At 36.7% G+C, this 12,423-nt stretch overlaps 1 protein-coding gene and 1 long non-coding RNA gene across 28 annotated transcripts in view; one reads left to right on the forward strand and one right to left on the reverse strand.

Annotated features, from left to right (window-relative positions):
- Positions 1-12,423, reverse strand: part of DLG2 (discs large MAGUK scaffold protein 2) — a 2,173,362-nt gene that overhangs the window by 1,294,779 nt on the left and 866,160 nt on the right. The window lies entirely within an intron of this gene.
- The window catches only part of LOC124902727 (uncharacterized), an 80,292-nt gene that overhangs the window by 29,379 nt on the left and 38,490 nt on the right, over positions 1-12,423 (forward strand). For both annotated transcript variants that reach the window (NR_189147.1, NR_189146.1), the window contains exon 2: positions 12,321-12,378. This is a non-coding gene — a long non-coding RNA (uncharacterized LOC124902727). The remainder of the gene's footprint in view (positions 1-12,320; positions 12,379-12,423) is intronic.

The following is a 12,423-nucleotide window of genomic DNA, read 5'->3' on the forward strand; positions in this document are numbered from 1 at the left end:
AGGCCCTTTGGATTCCCCCTGCTGTTGGTTTCCTCTACGTGTTTAGCACTATAGTAGCATGTCCTGAAGTTGAATCAATGTAAAGCAGAATTTTCACAGTAATCCCTGTAAGGCAGAGATTATTGCCTGTTTTTCTCACCTGCTATATCCAAAATACCTAGAAGAGTGCCTAGCATATAGTAAGTTCTCAGCAAATATTTGTGTTTTTTAATGATTTCAGAATTTAATAATACATTTCTATACAATTTGGCTCCTAAATATATGCCACCTTTTTCATTTGCCGCAAAGAACCACTCACTTGTTCCAACAGTAAAGGAAGACTATTAGATTTATTTAAAGATGGTAGACTTTGCTCTGTACTTTTTTTTTCCTTCAATTTTTATGTTAAGTTCTAGGGTACATGTGCACGATATTCAGGCTTGTTACATAGGTAAATGTGTGCCATGGTGATTTGCTGCACAGATCATCTCATCAGGTATGTATTAAGCCCAGCATCCATGAGCTCTTCTTCCTGAATATTTGTTGAATGAATTATTAAATATTTATTTAATCAAACTGATTTCTGTATGTACAATGAGGAAGATAAAAAGTGAGGTTTGAAGTCGGAGTCTGACTCTAGATACCACAACTTTGTTAAGATTTGAGGTTTGGCATAGGCCCGTACATGTTTTTCTATTGCTGAGTTTAGAAAGAAAAATCTTTGTTTAAAACATTTTCCAAATTTATTTTTAAAAAAATAAATATCATATATAAATTATATCTCAATGTTTTTAATAGTTATTGAAAAAAACTATATACCAAATTATACTCTTATGTTCATGACATAATTAACTCTGCTGAGAGAGTATACATTTCTGAAACTATCATAGTCATCATTTCCCAGTTTTATTACATGGATCAAGGTGTTTAACATAGGCTGTTTTTCAATTACTTCATATTGATACAAAGTTGAACGACAAACCATAGAAAGTCAAGGATTTCAAATCACATCTGGAATGGATACTAGGATGATATGTGTAATTTATGATCTTACCACCTGATTGACTGCAAAATTGTTAAGAAAGATTCCCTGAGGTAATCCAATTTGTTTTTAGTACCTAATTAACACTTCCCAGTGGTTTCTGGATGGGATAATTGAGAAATGTAATGCTTATAAGATTGAAATCAGGCATTGAGGTATCCTATTAAGTCAAGAATTTACCTGTTATTGGCAATGTATTTAACTGATGGCAGAGACAGCATTAGAAAAAAAGAATGGAGTAGATATTTAGGAAAAAGAAGACAGGTAGCTGAATTATTTGCACTTTTAGAGGAATTGATGGCAAATACATGTTCGACTCTTATATCAAAATTGCATCCTGGAGGGAAGAATATACAGACTTAAAGTTCCAAGTCAGAAAGGATGAATCAAAGAGACCATGGGAGAGATAGTACTAACATTAATTAAGTGACTGGATCAGATACTGTTCTAATAAGCATATGTGCTTTATCTCACTTAATCCTCAAAAGAACAAATATGAGGTGCATATATCACTATCTTCATTTTTTATATGAAGAAACCAAGGTTCACAAAGCTTTTAAGATTTCAAGCAGCAAGAAGGTGACAGTGATTGGTATTATTGTAAAAACTGTAGGCATTATTTATGATAATTTAGGAGTGCAAAGGCCAGGTACAAACCAAAAAAAAGTAGCTTGGAGTGGTAGTTCTCACTCTCTTTCTCTGTGTGGTGACGTACATGGAAGAAATCACAGCATTCACATACAGCCACAATTTCCTGGGCATCCTCAGATCACATGCTGCAGCATAGCAAAAATCGGCTGTGGTTAACATGCAATTCTATGAACACTACAACTCAAGAAAGCACATAGAGAGGTAAAAGAACTTTTATTTTCCTGATATCCTTAAATCAACTTGAATTTGTTTTTTAAGTAAATAAGTGCTTAATTAGCAACAAATTGCAATTGATCACAAGGCAGTAATGTGTAGCAATCTTATGTTTTAAAGTTGCCTAGAAGAGGTTAGGATGCCAGGTACAAAATTAAAAACCATGGATTGGCAAAGAAAAAATTAGATAAACTGATTTTTCTTTCCTTGATTTGAGTGGTAGGTTACAAGCATAGAGGATGCAGTAGCTCTCATTTACTTTGTTCTTAGCAAGTGTTGTACTATTTCACACTACACTCTTCTCCAGTAGCAAGGTAACAGGGAATATCTTGGCTGAACCACTGGAAGGTAGAAGATGGCCGAGTCCAGGGAAATATTCAAAAACTCAAATCTTCCACTGCCCAGTTCAGTGAAAAGGCCATCTTATGTCGTGGAGAAAACATGGGGTTTAGAATCAGGTGGTTTGTATTCAAGTTCTTTCTGTCTTGCTTGCCTGGCTTTCTAGCCTTGGATCACTTAACCTCTTCACTTCACTTTCCTTCATTCACTTAAGTATGTTTATTGAAGACCTACTATTTCCTAGGCATGGTTCTAGGTGCTGGGAATATAGTGGTAAAAAAGACAAAGTTCTGCTTTCACAGAGCTTACATTCTAATGAAAGAAACAGCCAAACTATGAAGCTGTAACTACTTACATAAAATATTAGGTAGCAATATGTGCTGTGAAAATAACTTTTTAAAAAAACTGTAGCAGTGTAAGAAGAGAGAGTAGAAGGATGTATGTGGACTATTTTATTTTATTATTATTTTTTTATCATTAGAAATACATCTGTATTTTTAAATCCAAAATCTAACTAGATAACATGGCTGCTTCTTTGGTTTTCTTTTTCTTTTTTTTTTTTTTTTATTATACTTTAAGTTTTAGGGTACATGTGCACATTGTGCAGGTTAGTTACATATGTATACATGTGCCATGCTGGTGCGCTGCACCCACTAACGCGTCATCTAGCATTAGGTATATCTCCCAATGCTATCCCTCCCCCCTCCCCCCACCCCACTACAGTCCCCAGAGTGTGATATTCCCCTTCCTGTGTCCATGTGATCTCATTGTTCAATTCCCACCTATGAGTGAGAATATGCGGTGTTTGGTTTTTTGTTCTTGCGATAGTTTACTGAGAATGATGGTTTCCAATTTCATCCATGTCCCTACAAAGGACCTGAACTCATCATTTTTTATGGCTGCATAGTATTCCATGGTGTATATGTGCCACATTTTCTTAATCCAGTCTATCATTGTTGGACATTTGGGTTGGTTCCAAGATAAACTACTCAAAGAGGTCTTTTTCAGGAAGGGGTATTTGAACAGAGACCTGGAAAGGAAGAAGTAAGCAGCATTTATTTTTTCCACCAGAAGTTATTAGCAAATGAGTCAACAGTAATCACAAAGATTTTTGGGCAAGAATAAACTTGGCTTATTCAAGAGACAGCAAAAGATCAGTGTGGCTACAGCAAGAAAACAGAGAAGAGAGACAGATTAGTCTGAGTATGTTGGAAAGCTTTTGAAGCCAATTTCCCGTTAAAATAGACCTTTCTGGCCGTTGGATAAAGATGTGACTGGATAAAGAAAGGAGTGGAAACAGGGAGATAAGTTAGGAAACAAATCCCATAGTGTAGGTGAGAGATAATGGAGGGTTTGAATTAGTAGGCAGGCACAGACATATGACCAATGGTAACAGTAGTAAGAAGTAGCCATATTTTTCATACTTTGAATATAGAGCTTATAGGATTTTCTAACAGGTTGGTGGTAGGCTCTGAGGAACATAAGCAGTCAAAGATTAATTTATGTTTTTGGCCTGGGAAGATCCTAAAGCTGAGGGAAATGAAGAATTTTATTTTTATGTGATAAGTCTAAAGTGACTATGGGATATCAAGGCAGAGCTATTGAATAGTTATGTATTCACATAGGAGATCAGGAAAGATGTAGAAACTGGAGATGGAATTTGGGAGTTATAAGAACGTGTAACTTATTTAAATTATCTAAAGTCATGGAATGGGCTTGATGGAGTGAAGGAGCATCACTAGAAGGCTAAGCCTTGGTCAACAGTGATACTTAGAGACTAGCAGAGCTGGAAAAGTCAAATAGATTGAGAAAGAGTGGCCAGCAATATAGGCACTAAATCAGATTTCACTGTACTAGAGACAAGTGAAGAAAGTTTTAGGAAAGGATAAGTGATCAACTAGGTTGGACATTGCTGAGAGGTAGAGAAAGATGAGAACTAAGAACCGACCAATGCGTTTTGCAAAGTGGAGATCATGAGGGACAGACTGAAGCTGCTTCAGTGGAACAGCAGGGAGAAAAGCTTAACCAAAGTGGGTGGAGGAAAGAAGAGGAGGTAAGAAAACAGATAACCTTGAGTATAGACTACTCCTTTGATGAGCTTTGCTAAATAGGAGGACAAAAAATATGGGAAAGGGTAAAAGAAATTAAGACAGTGATTCTATTTACCAGCAAACAGTATTTTGAATATTAAACAAGTGAGTGGATGTAGAAGATCTTTATGAACTCCAAAGCACTATATAAATAATATGTTATTTTGTGACAGGAAGGATCGGTAGAGATAGGAAATGAAGCATATTGAACAGTATCCTTTATGGCATTGAACTTACCCGCCTTATTCTGTATGTTTTGAAGTGGATGTTTTCTTTACTTTTATATAACAATGCATCTGCTAGAATAAAATAATCTGGAAATGTTTGAGTAAATGATCTTATTTAATAGATAAATAACAATTATATATTGTGCATTGGGGGAATCTGGAACTTAGAAAAGCTTTGAAATAAATTATACAATATATATTTTATAGGGAAGTTAAGTTCATGAGGATCCTGGTTGTAAAAAATAAATAAAATAGCAAAACCACGGAGATAGCAAAAAGATCAGTGGTTGGTAGGGGTTGGGAGGCTGGAATTTGACTAAGCAGAGAATAAAGGAATTTTAAGACAGTCAAAATACTCCTTACAATGTTTTAATCATGAATAAATGTCATTACACGTTTGTTGAAACCCACAGAATGTGCAAAACCAAGAGTAAACCTTAGCGTGAACCATGGACTTAGGTGATTATGATGTGTCAAGGTAGATTACTCAATTGTTACAAATTTACCATTCTGGTGGGGAATGTCGTTAGTATAGGAAACTATGCATGTGTGGGGGCTGGAGTATATGGCAAAGTTTCTGTAACTTCCTCTTAGTTTTTCTGTGAACCTAAAACTGCTCTAAAAAATAAAGTCCAAAAATGAATGAATTAAAGGCTTAGATAATTCATAGGATGTTATGAGAAAATAATTTACTTGTATTAAAAATCCCAAATTTTTGCAGCTTCTCCAACATATCTTTTACTATCATATTCAACATCAAAGCAGCAAGCTAGATTTAAAACAACACAAACTTAAAAAATTTAAGTTTGAAGAGACCGGAAGAACCCTAGATGTTACAGTGAATGTTTTGAAGGTCACAGTTAGTCACAAATTTATTTTGAGTCAGAGAAAAATATTAACCCAAGTACGTTCTGCACAGAACTTGGTACCAATAAATTTTTGTAGAATAAAAGGTACCAATAAATTTTTGTAGAATGTTACATGAGTAGATAAACCTTTCCTTACCGACAGGATAAAATTTGCTGATTTCTGGGCTGGGCCTGTGGTTCTGGACACTTCATCTCATAGTCAAGGAAATTTTCAGCAATTGTTTTTTGTTTTGTTTTTTTTGAGACGGAGTCTCGCTCTGTAGCCCAGGCTGGAGTGTAGTGGCACAACCTCGGCTCACTGCAAGCTCCGCTTCCCGGGTTCAAGACATTCTCCTGCCTCAGCCTCCCAAGTAGCTGGGACTACAGGCACCCGCCACCACGCCCGGCTAATTCTTTGTATTTTTAGTGGAGACGGGGTTACACCGTGTTAGCCAGGATGGACTCAATCTCCTGACCTCGTGATCCACCCGCCTCGGCCTCCCGAAGTGCTGGGATTACAGGCATGAGCTACCGCGCCTGGCCCAGTGTGTCTTTTACCCAGACTATCTAAGGTAGGTCAACAGATATTGTGAAAACTGTCCAAAAGCAAAAAGGAAACCTGCCCAATTTTCAATATATGCTAGGGTGAAAATAAAGGTCACTTTTAGTGTGAGAATTAGGCATGTTAGTCAGTATATCATAGTGAAAGTTTATTGTTCCCTTCAAAAGTATAATTTGGAATAAAAAAATTAATTTTAACTAGATATGTAAAAATGATTCTAATAGAATGACTGGCGTACTTCATCAGTATATAAAATTTGCAAAAAGGTTATAAAATTCATTAGGAAACATGGTGGTCAAGGTATAAAATGCTAAGATGGACTATTGAATAAAGCTGGGGATATGCGAGACTATTTCAAAAAATCATAAAAAAAATTTAAAACATCATTCATTTCCACAATGGAATATGTATTTGTAACTAACTTGTAATAATTATAATTAAAGAATACTTTTTTATGCCTTTGTTTTCTAGACTCTGTGGAAGGCTTTGTTATAGCAGCGTAGGAGAAAGAAGCAATAAGTGGTTGTAAAGTCTCTTGCAAACACAAAATGTTATGTAAATTCTAAATAGAAATAACTGTTGAGAGACCAGGCATGGTGGCTCACACCTGTAATCCCAGCCCTTTAGAAATAACTGCTGAGGAGAGTATTTTCCTTCAAGAGCACGAATACACTCAAGCTATTGACTATGTTTATACAGTGATGTGGAGAAAAGAGAAAAACTGTAAGCAAACAGACCTGGGCTTGCATCTCTAGTTCTACCACTTTCTAGGTGTGTTCAATTGGGTAAATTGCTTAAAATTTCCAGAAAAATACAGATAATTCCACTTACCTTAGAAGGTTGTTAAGAGAATTAAATGTAATATTATGTGTAGATTCTAGTATACACAAAGTGGATACATAACAGTTACTATTTTTCTTTCCTCGTCTCTGAGTAAACCAAGCTTGTCCAACCCCTAGTCCAACACAAATTCATAAACTTTCTTAAAATATAATGAGATTTTTTTGTGATTTTTTTTAATTTTTGTTTTTTAGCTCATCAGCTATCGTTAGTGTTAGTGTATTTTATGTGTGGCCCAAGACATTTCTTCATCTTCCAGTGAGGCCCAGAGAAGCCAAAAGATTGAACACCACTGGTTAATTTCCCCTAAACTGGATAAGAAATACTACAAGGCATTACAACTCCCAATGAGATAAATGGGTGGAAGAGGCATCAGCCTACAGCAACTACCAGAATCATAATTCCTGGTGTACATATTTAGTTTTTTATCAACATCCTCAATCCTTAAGTGCCCTAAATGATAATGAACTAAGAATAATTATGCTTGTTAGGTAACAATGGGCAAATCTTTCTCTACTCTGGAATTCTCTTCCTTTGTGTTTAGCAGGAATGAGCTAGATTCCTCATATATTCATCCAAGGACTCAGTGTGGTCCTTGGATGAATACCAGTCTGCAAAACTGTTTGTTTCCCATCTACTACAAAGTATTGAAAATGAAAGTAAGCATTTAGAGACTTTTATAACAATTTGACCAAGTAAGTGTATATCTTTTGTTAAAAAAAAAAAGGATTTTATCTTGTATGTTTTTGGTTTATTTCCCCATTTCACTTCTCCAGTAATTCATTTTTATTGCATTTTACAAAAGTATTGGTCTGCAGTAGATTGTAAATTTAAACACACACACACACATACACACCTTTTATCACAAAAAGTTTGAGGAGCATTGGACAGATAATCGCTTAAGCCCTGGTATTCTACAAGATTATTTTCTGTCCATGTTGCCTGAGGCTGACCAACTCCAGAGGAAGATAAGGTGTTTATTGCCTAATGTCCTCCAAAGAGGCACCTCCTCTCCATCAAAGATAATGAAGATGAGGATGATGATGGTGATGATGATGATTTCCCTCTTTACATGCATTATCTCATTTAATCCCTTACTGTTATTACACCATTTAATAGAAAGAGGTAATTAAAGCCCAGGAAGACACAAATGGCTTTAGTTGTATTTGATTCCAAATCCTGTATGTTTCCCACCATGCCATGTTGCTTCCAGTGATACTGCTTTCCCAAGAAAAACTGCTTGCCATTAGCCAAGTCTATCCCGTGCAGCCTGGGGGAATCACCTGGTAAAGTCGGCAAACCTGTGAAGTCTCAGCCAAAAAGGCATGCCTCTTATCCTAATACCATGGGAATTCCCCTTTAGCCTAACCAGCAGAAGTCAACTAAAATCATAGAGCCTCAGGATTTAAAAGTATCTGAGGAATAATCTACAATCTGTATTCCAATGGTTGGGTCATTGCCATAACATACTTTACAACTGGTTATCACTTGTAAATCTGAATACCTCCAGCTACAGGAACTTACTACACACAGAGGTAGCTCATTGTCAGTATATTCTTATAATCTAATAAGGATTGTTTCAGTTAAATTAATCTGAGAGCTTTCTCTTTGTACCTGTACTGTTTTGGGCAAAATTTTACTGTGTGGAGCCATGGAAAACAACCATGTAGAATTGTTCTACTTTGTAACAACAAGCTATGTATCTGGATTTTTTACAGGCAGCTGTAGAGCTGTTAGAACTTGAGTTGAATTCTGGCTCTTAACATTTAGATATGACCTGAGACAAACTATTTGCCCTCATCAATGTTGTCTGTAAAATGAGGACAATAATCCTGGCATCATTTAAATGTTATGATAATTAAATAAAATATTACATCAAGTAAAAGCACCAGGTAGGTACTTTAGAAAGTTTGTTGAACTGATTCCTTTATATTTTCTCATTGTTTTACTCTTCTGAACACTGTTTTCTGATACTGATTCATTCTGTTTCTTACCCTATAGTTTTCTCCCCTAGGCCACCTCAGGGATTCAAATTTGTATTATTTTAAATCATACCATAAATGACCATAATATTGAAAGATGCTATTTAGTTTACAAAACGTTTTCATGTTCTGATTCAAATTAATATTACATAAATCCTATGAACCTAGAAGAACATATTAACATTTCATAGGCAAGGAGTTGAAGATCTTTATTCTTTATATAGAAGGTAACGTAGATTCACTAAGTTGAAAAGCTCGTAAAGATTACTTTTCTACAAAATACACAAGCAATTAATTAATTTATTAATTCTTTCTGTTTATTTATTTATTTTGAGACAGAGTTTCACTCTGTCACCCAGGCTGGAGTGCAGTGGTGGGATCTCAGCTCACTGAAACCTCCACCTCCTGGATTCAAGTGATTCTCATGCCTCAGCCTCCTGAGTATCTGGAACTACAGGCACGCACCACCATGCCTGGCTAATTTTTGTATTTTTAGTAGAGATGGGGCTTTGCCATGTTGTCCAGGCTGGTCTTGAACTCCTGGCCTCAAGCAATCTACCCACCTTGGCCTCCCGAAGTGCTGGGATTACAGGCTTGAGACACTGCACTCAGCCCTAACTTATTAATTCTAAAGTAAGTAACCATTGTCACTAGATGCCAGTCTAACACCTGGAGATATAGATGTGAATAAAATTCTCATTGCCTCTGCCTTTGAGAAGCTATTAGGCTAAAGGGGAAGAAAGATATGGAATAACTGTGATGAGTGTAAAGCTATGCAGGATGTTAAGGCAGCATAAAATAGATTGGCCTACCTGCACTGGAACTGTTAGCTTATGGTAACCTCTCAATCAGAACCACTCTAGTGATGATAAATACTATTATAATTATCATAATAATATCATAGCATCATCTGTTTTCTGCACAGCTATACTTCATTGTGAGGCTTGAGCGTTTATGATAATCTATCTTCTTTCATTTAAATCAAACAATGCTATAAACTCAGTCAACTGATTCCAAAAACAAATGTTTTGAATGTAGTTATTGGGAAGTATGGACCACCCTATTTTTATGAAATAAAAGTTTGTTTACACAAAGCAAAAGTGGCCCTAATAAAAACACCATCCCTTTTTTCAAAAGTGTTAGGCATAATGATGGATGACATTTTCTCCATTGCAACAAAAACTTGTCTTCATATGCTACTGGGTTCTCTGGAAAGAAGTGATCTTTTTTTTTTCCTTATAAGTTCAGAAAAGACAATAATTATCCCTTGAAAAAATTTATACATAGGGATCCTGGTATCTTTAATAAATACTTTCCAAAATTGTCTTGTAGTAACTATGGTATCGGTGGAATTACACCTGTAACAAGCATATAATTTTCTATTTAAAGTACTCCTAGAGTGCAGTACGTTTATGATGTAATGAACTCTTTACACGAAGGAAGAATCATTGGTTTTGTCATTGGTAAGCTTTTGTCATTGGTAAGCTTTTAAAATTAATTGTGAATCCTAATGCAGCATTTTATAAAACATGCTTTAGTTTAGAAACCTGGGCATCTCATCAATTTCTTCTCTTCCCAAAGGATTTAGATCAATAGTAGCCAACACAGTCCACTCATGCTCATATTAAGTTTCATATTCCTGTTCCTAGGATTTAATTCTCTAGTAATAAATCTCTTAGTAAATGATGTTCTCTATCCAGGGCTGCCAAGCAAACTCACTGTTTTGATAAAGGTTCGGCTTTAGCCTTCTGAGTCTTCTAATGGACTTGCTAGGCTGTCTGCCCTTTCAGAGATCCATTCAAAAGAAAGGGCAAAAAGTCCCCATAACCATTTAGTAAATTGGCTTCATTACCAAATGTTACAGGTTTACCAATAGTCTGGGGTTTGCCTTTCCTTAGGGGAGAGAAAGACAACCTAGCAAACAAGTGTTTCAGACACAATCAACTCTTTAATCTCTGCTTCTAATTGTGATGTGATGACCTGTGCTGCTTCTGCAGCGTTCTCCATAGTGAGTTAGCAGCGGCCCCACAACACTGTGCACACCTTCATGACTATACTTTTAACTGTGTATTTAAATTATTTTTAACCACCTCTTCTGTGACATTATGAGTATTTGGGTTACAGGGACAATAACTTGTTTTTCTCTGCAGTCCTGTATATACTAATATGAACAGGAGACAGGAAAATACTGATTAGAAGAGGGCAGTTCCCCAGCAAAGGTGGAATGATGTGGTAGAGAAAGAGAGGAGGGATGTCTGGACACTGGGCCGGCGACAGTCAGGAGCAGAGACCGGCAGCTACGTGGCCCAACTCCAGGGGAAGACCACCTTCCCACTCCATCCCCCTCTTCCTGCTCCCCATCCATCTCGCTGAGAGCCCACCTCCACCACTCAATAAAACCTGGCACTCATCCTTTGCACCCACGTGTGATCTGATTCTTCTGGGACACTGGGCAAGAGCTCAGGATACAGAAAGCTGTCACATGGCCCTCTGCCCTTGTGAAAAAGCAGAGGGTCCATTGAGCTGATTAACATACAAGGTGTCTGAAAATGGGAAAGCTGAAACAGCTTGGTAACACTGGGGTTGCAGGTATCCACCCCAAACTAAGTAACACCTAAACCAAGCTGGCTAATCAGATTCTCTTTCTTGGGATTTTAGAATTGAAGCAATGCATTTTTACCCGTGATGGTGTAATGGTTACTCCAGACTATTGGTAAACCTGTAACATTTGGTAATGAAGCCAATTTGCTAAATGGTTATGGGGACTTTTTGCCCTTTCTTTTGAATGGATCTCTGAAAGGGCAGACAGCCTAGCAAGTGTCAACTTTATTGGATTGAAGGACCTGAAGTACTGTTCCTGGGTGTGTCTGTGAGGGTGTTGCCAAAGGAGATTAACATTCGTGTCAGTGGACTGGGAAGGGCAGACCCACCCTCATTCTAGGTGGGCACAATCTAATCAGCTGCCAGCATGGCCAGAATAAAAGCAGGCAGAAGAACATGGAAAGACTAGACTAACTAAGTCTTCTGGCCTCCATTTTTCTCCCATGTTGAATGCTTCCTGACCTTGAACATCAGACTCCAAGTTCTTCAGCTTTTGGACTCTTGAACTTAACACCAGTGGTTTGCCAGGGGCTCTCAGGCCTTCTACTACAGACTGAAGGCTGCTATTGGCTTCCCTACTTTTGAGGTTTTGGGACACAGACTGGCTTCCTGGCTCCTCAGCTTGCAGAGGGCCTATTCTGGGACTTTACTTTGTGATTGTGTGAGTCAATTATAATAAACTCCTCTTCATATATTCATCTATCTTATCCGTTCTGTCCCTCTAGAAAACCCTAAATAATACAGATGGTCACTTAAATAAAATTATAAAAATGTTTTCTTATTCCTTGGTTTCATTTCATTTCTGAGGGCCCATCCTATTCTTGAGTCCCATCATTCACATGTATATTTATATAAAAAATGTATTTTGGCTTGATCTAAACATAGCTGGGTTTGTTACTTTGAACCAAAAATATATATTATTTTAATTACTCATTTTCATTTATAGAAACATCATATTTGAAAACAAGGTGGGGCCTTCATCATATGCAACCTTCATATTTTAGGTAAGAAATAAAAATGCAATTGCTAAAGATTTCATTTAAACATTT

The sequence above is a fragment of the Homo sapiens genome, chromosome 11, assembly GCF_000001405.40.
Source record: "Homo sapiens chromosome 11, GRCh38.p14 Primary Assembly".
NCBI lineage: Eukaryota > Metazoa > Chordata > Mammalia > Primates > Hominidae > Homo > Homo sapiens.